The following is a 6,000-nucleotide window of genomic DNA, read 5'->3' as shown; positions in this document are numbered from 1 at the left end:
ATAGGAAGGATAGAGATGTCTGAACTTTGGTATTTCACTTTCCCCAGATTGGTTAGGCCTTAGTAAAACCCCAGTCAGTTAGGATCTGGTAAAATAGTTTATTTTGAGAGTAGGACTTGTTATGAAGAACAGAATTCTCTGGGCATACTTCAAAATTGCTATTTTACCTTTCCCTGCTGGAAGCAAGAGGGGATTTTTCTCTGACCTTCACTATGAGAAGCTGGTAGAGATCCTGGAGGAAAAATTCACAAAACATGGGGGCTCCACTAAGACTGGCCTCTCCTGGAGTTTTAAACCCTAAGACTTGTTCTTGCTGAGCCCCCAGCAATCTTTCAGCTACAGTTTAGATTTTACTGCTCCAATACTGGTTCCTACAGAGGTTTCTGCTCTGGTAAGTTGTGATTCTCTGTATCAGTCTGTTTCTTTAATTTTGGGGACAGTGATTTGCCCCATGACCTCAATTCTCTGATGGATCTATGAAGAGTTGCTGATTTTCAGTTTGTTCAGTGTTTTTTTTTGTTATGAGCATAGCCAACAACTTTCAATTCTTTATATGCTGAACCAGAAACTGGGAGTCTGTCCTGACTAGCTATTTGGCAGTTGCATTGTGGCTTAATATAATCAACATTTCAGTTTGTTTGAGTTCAATAGGCTTTGGCTATAAAAATATCCTGCTTGGGTTTCATAACAAAGAGAGCCAGGCTATTTTAATTTCCATACTTTATGGAATTGTATGTGGGCATCAGATAAATAATTTGTTTAAAAGTATTTTCTAAGATTTTTTCTAAGTATTTTCTAACTATTTTTCTAAGATATTTTCTAAGTATTTTCTAATATTTTTGTTTAAAAGTATTTTCTAGAATTACTTTTTTCCTTTTTCCTTCCTTTCCCTCTCTCCCTGCCTCCCTCCCTTCCTTCCTTCCTTCCTTCCTTCCTTCCTTCCTTCCTTCCTTCCTGTTTTCCTCACTGCATCAATCTGACACTAAAGTTACTTCTTTGTGATAAGAATAATGGATGTTATTGCCAAAATTTTATGAATATGTGAATCTAGATTTCAAATGACTTGCCTCAGGCCATCTCACTGGTCCCTGGCTGAGAGAAGAGTGGAAAAGTTAACTTCCTTCTTCAGCTGTCTTTAAGCTTTTTTCAGGATGAACACAGAACCTATTGTGGGGAGAAAGAGCTAAGAGATATTTTAAAGGACACATCACTCTTTCATATTTTTATCCCATGCCCTCACCATGTCTCCAAAGTAGGTGCTAAATATAATATTGTAAGTAATAATAGCTATGATTTATAACAGAACAGGTATTACTTTATTTTTTGCTTTATATAAATTATTTTTATTCCCCCCATTCTAGGAATGTTGGGTTCAAAATACACATTCAATTAACTTTAAATATCCATATAATCATCACAAGGCTAATAATCAATAAACTATCGGTTTTAAGATATTTTTATTTTTCAAAACTAAATACTTTCAGATGATTGGTTATTTAAAGATAATGCCTTATTTAATACCAAATACCAAATAAAACAAGAAGATGGTCCAGAATTCTTGGTGTGAAAAGTAAATATTTTCAAAAGTTAACCTTATGAAATACAAAATAGATACTGAACTAGGATTTTAAATTAATGTCAATCTTTTTACCTAAAACAATGATTTTTCAAATTTAAAAATTGCATAGAACACAATTCAAAATGTCATTTTCCCCAGTTTAAACATAATAGCAAAGAAAAGAGTTAATTTTGTCTACTAATTTTATATAATACATAATGTAAAACACATATATAATGTTTGTATTTTATTTATTTATTTATTTATTTATTTTATTTTACTTTCAGTTCTGGGATACATGTGCAGAATGTGCAGGTTTGTTACATAGGTATATATGTGCCATGGTGGTTTGCTGCACTCATCAACCCATCATCTAGGTTTTAAGCCCCGCATACATTAGCTATTTGTCCTAATGCGCTCCCTCCCCTTGCTTCCCAACCCCGACAGGTCCCAGTGTGTGATGTTCCCCTCCCTGTGTCCATGTGCAGAACGGGTATTTCAAATATACAATTTGTATTGATCCTCCTAAAAATAAAAGGAGGTAGACATATTTCCACTTTATTACTAGTGAGAAAACTAGAGGTAACTTGCTCAGGGGTGTGCGGAAGTATACAGGATGGCCATTCATTAAGTGCTCATCAGATTCTAACGTTGTTCTTCTTTTAGCTGTACAAAACTGCCAAGCTCTGGGGTCACTGCCATACTTATTTACCTGCTCACTGAGGGGAAAATACAAAATTAAAACTCAGATTCCCATGTAGAAACAAGAAGCATACATGCAGTGTACTTGGGAGGGAGCCCCAAACCCTGAATTCTATGAATGCTGCAACTGGATGTTTGAGAGAAATGTTTCTCAATGTTCTCTGGTTACAAGCACGTATCCAGTATAAGCAATTTTTTCTTCAGGCAAATCTGATATATGAAAATCCCCGTTTGCAGAAAAGATAAATTAGAGGATATTTGCTTTGCCCAAGAATTTCTTTGAATCACAGATCCCGTTGCCTTAAAATGTAACACAATGGAAACAAATCATTCCATAATTCATTTAGCAGCACCAGGACTCTTGCTTACAGCAATTCTCCAAAATATTTTACGCTCTGTTGATATGCCAACAAAAACATTCTGACTTCAGTGAGGATGAAGTAGCATTTTTACACTGAGTTTCCGTATTAAGGCACGGTACTGGGTATCAGCATGAACTCTCACAAGAAATATGAGTGCAGTTGCAGTATGATAGTTCTCATTTTATAGATGAGCAAACCAGGACTCAGGGAATTTTAAGTAATTCACCCAAAATTATACAGTCAAGGGTATGAAGAACAGGCATCCCTCGGTGGTATCCATGGGGGATTGGCTCCAGGATCCCTGAAGATATCAAAACCCAAGGATGCTCAAGTCCCTGGTAGAAAATGCTGTAGTATTTGCATGTAAACTGTGCAAGACCAGTCCCGGTGGCCCACGCTTGTAATCCCAGCACTTTGGGAGGTTGAGGCGAGCGGATCATCTGAGGTCAGGAGTTCAAGACCAGCCTGGCCAACATGGCAAAACTCCATCTCTATTAAAAATACAAAAATGAGCCAGGCCCGGTGGCACACACCTGTAATCTCAGCTACTTCGGAGGCTGAGGCAGGAGAATCACTTGAACTCGGGAGGCGAAGGTTGCAGTGAGCCGAGATCTTGCCGCTGCACTCCAGCCTAGGTGACAGAGGCTCTGTCTCAAAAAAAAAAAAGAAACATACAAAAACCCCAAAAACCCCCCAAACAAAAAACTGCACAGTCTCCAATATATTTTACATCGTTTCTAGATTACTTATGATACCTAATACCACGTAAATGCTACGTAAGTAGTTGTTAGACTGTATTGTTTAGGGAATAATGACAAGAGAAAAATCTGCACATGTTCGGTATAGATGCAACCATCCTTTTTTTAAAATATATATTTGATCTACAGTTGAATTTACGGATACAGAATCTGTGGATGCAGAGGGGTGGCTGTAATTGCTAGCTTTAAGGAGCAGCTACTCTAACCTAGGCATTGTCCTAAGCACATTATGTGTTAACTCACGAAAGCCTCATAACAGCTCTTCTGGTAAATACCAGTAATAGCCTCACTTTACACATAAGGGAACCGAGGTAGAGTGTTTAGTAACTTTCCTTAGATCCCAAAATTAGTAAGAGGTGGATGTGAGTTTTAAATTTAGGCGATCTGATCAAAATCCATGCTCATAATCATATTCCTTCCTGAATGGATGTGTTAAATAAGAACACAGTGCAACCACTAATTTTAAAGCATATTTACTTTAATATACCCCCAAATTTTGTTGGTCTGCACAACACTGAGAGGAAATCCAAACAACCAACAAAGGCCCTATGTATTTTGATAGCAAGAGGTAAACCAGCTGGAGTGAATGTACCCTATGCTAGAAAGGCGGGCTACAAGCATCTCGGATACAGAATTCCCAGTTGTTTTTGTTTTTTTCATTCTGAGGAAGGTAGTTCCAAACTTGGTTCGAAGAGCTTAATAAGATCATTAAAAATCTGTATTAAACAAATTTTGTTCTGCCTTCCTTACCACATTGGCTTCCATTTGGGTTGGTTACCTCGTGGTCACAAAGTGGCTGCTGTTGTTGCTTTGGGAATTATATTCTCGCACAACTGCATCCACAAGCAGGAAGAAGTTTCTCCTGCCCACCTCTTCTTCTTTGGGAAGAAAACCCAAATCTGTACACTTCTCTTCAGGTCTTCTGGACTCATGTGGTCATGTTCTATGTTCAGGTTGCCAGGCTGGTAGAAAGTAGGGAAGACTTCCTCCAAAAAGGCCAGGCTGCAGTGGTAGGCTGCAGGTGTGTCACATCTGTTCTAACACTGCTGCTCACCCCTTGTCATTCTGTGCTGATTACAACACATGGCAGAGGCAGAGCTTAAACCAGAAAAGGACTTTGCAATGTCTGCAAAGAGCTGTTGTCACCGGATAGAAGATCTCTTAGATTTGTGGCATTCCAGATCAAAGGTTTGAGTAGGTGGCTAAAAGAGAAGACCAAAGAGGTGTTTAGCGGATTGGGGAAAAGAAGGAGGAGATGGGTTGAGAAAAATAGGTGGTGGATTTTTATCTGACATGGGTTAGGCTGGAGATGGCAAAATATTTTCATTTCTTATGCCAACTTCAATCTCTGGAGCTATCTGTAGGCTCTGGGACCCTGTTTTGGGAAGAATTCTCCTGGTAGAGAGAACATTGACACTTCTAGTCTCTATGTTGAGAATAAAGTAGGAGGTCAGGCTGTCAGTAACGAAGATGCATGGAACAGCTATTGGGTAGGAAGCCAATATAATGCCTCCCCCACAAGAAAGCTTCCAGGTTTCATATTCAGGACTAGACTGTGACTGAACCTATCCCTGCTAATTGGCAATTCTGAAGCAGTTATTATTCCAGATATTGCTGATTAAATGGGGAGCCCAGAATGTTCATCATTCTCCAGTCAAAACTATAGTAGGCCAGGCATGGTGGCTCATGCCTGTAATCCCAGGACTTTGAGATCCATCTGAGGCGGGTGTATCACCTGAGGTCAGGAGTTCGAGACCAGCCTGGCCAACCCCATCTTTACTAAAATACAAAAATTAGTTGGGCATGGTGGTGCATGCCTGTAGTCCCAGCTACTCCAGAGGCTGAGGCAGGAGTATTGCTCGAACCCGGGAGGTGGAGGTTGCAGTTAGCCAAGATCGTGCCACTGCACTCCAGCCTGGGTGACAGAGTGAGACTCCATCACAAACAAACAAACAAAAAAACTATAGTGGCATAATATCCTGACATGTTCTTGACAAATCTATTGACTTAATGTTTCCTTCATTTAATCATAGACTTTTGGGCTGGACAATCCCTTAGAGACCATTAGTCCATATCCTTCATTTGCCAGACGAGGAAATTCATGCTTAGAGAGAGAACATGACTCTTCCAAGATCATACAGATCACACAGTGGTAAGGGCAACATTTCAGTTCAAATCTCTTAATTCAAAAGTTATTTCAGATTGCCCAGGCTGCATCTTCAAACAGCAAAGCAGGCAACTTAAACCATGAAGAAATACATTAGAGATGGTAAATCAACAGGATTGAAGGAGCACGGTGTCTGGTAACTGTAGGCTCTGACATCCTCCTCTCTTCAACAGAGCCACTCAGGTGCAGCCTCTGCAACTTGTTCTTCCACTGTTCCCCCTCCCATAATTGGTGCTATGTAACCTCTAATAATTCAGGTGTCTGACTGATGATGTATTAATGAAAAGCCAAAGACATCCAGCAAAGCCTAGATCCTTCTGTGCTTATGCAAATGGTATTACTGAATGCCACGAGCTCACTAGGGAAAAATTGCATGGTGGGTGGGAAGAGTATCTCAGTATACAGGGAAACCAAACAATGTTTTGAGTGCCTGTTCTAGACATTGTGCTAGGT

General features: G+C 39.5%; 1 long non-coding RNA gene across 1 annotated transcript in view; it reads right to left on the bottom strand.

The window, feature by feature from the left end:
• Positions 1-3,840: 3,840 nt before the first annotated feature.
• Positions 3,841-6,000, bottom strand: part of LOC105379340 (uncharacterized) — a 39,195-nt gene continuing 37,035 nt past the window's right edge. Inside the window, exon 5 of the long non-coding RNA XR_949607.3 lies at positions 3,841-4,582. This is a non-coding gene — a long non-coding RNA (uncharacterized LOC105379340). The remainder of the gene's footprint in view (positions 4,583-6,000) is intronic.

The sequence above is a fragment of the Homo sapiens genome, chromosome 8 (genome assembly GCF_000001405.40).
Source record: "Homo sapiens chromosome 8, GRCh38.p14 Primary Assembly".
Taxonomy (NCBI): domain Eukaryota; kingdom Metazoa; phylum Chordata; class Mammalia; order Primates; family Hominidae; genus Homo; species Homo sapiens.
The sequence above is the reverse complement of the archived record's forward strand: the minus strand, read 5'-3'. Positions and strand labels throughout refer to the sequence as shown.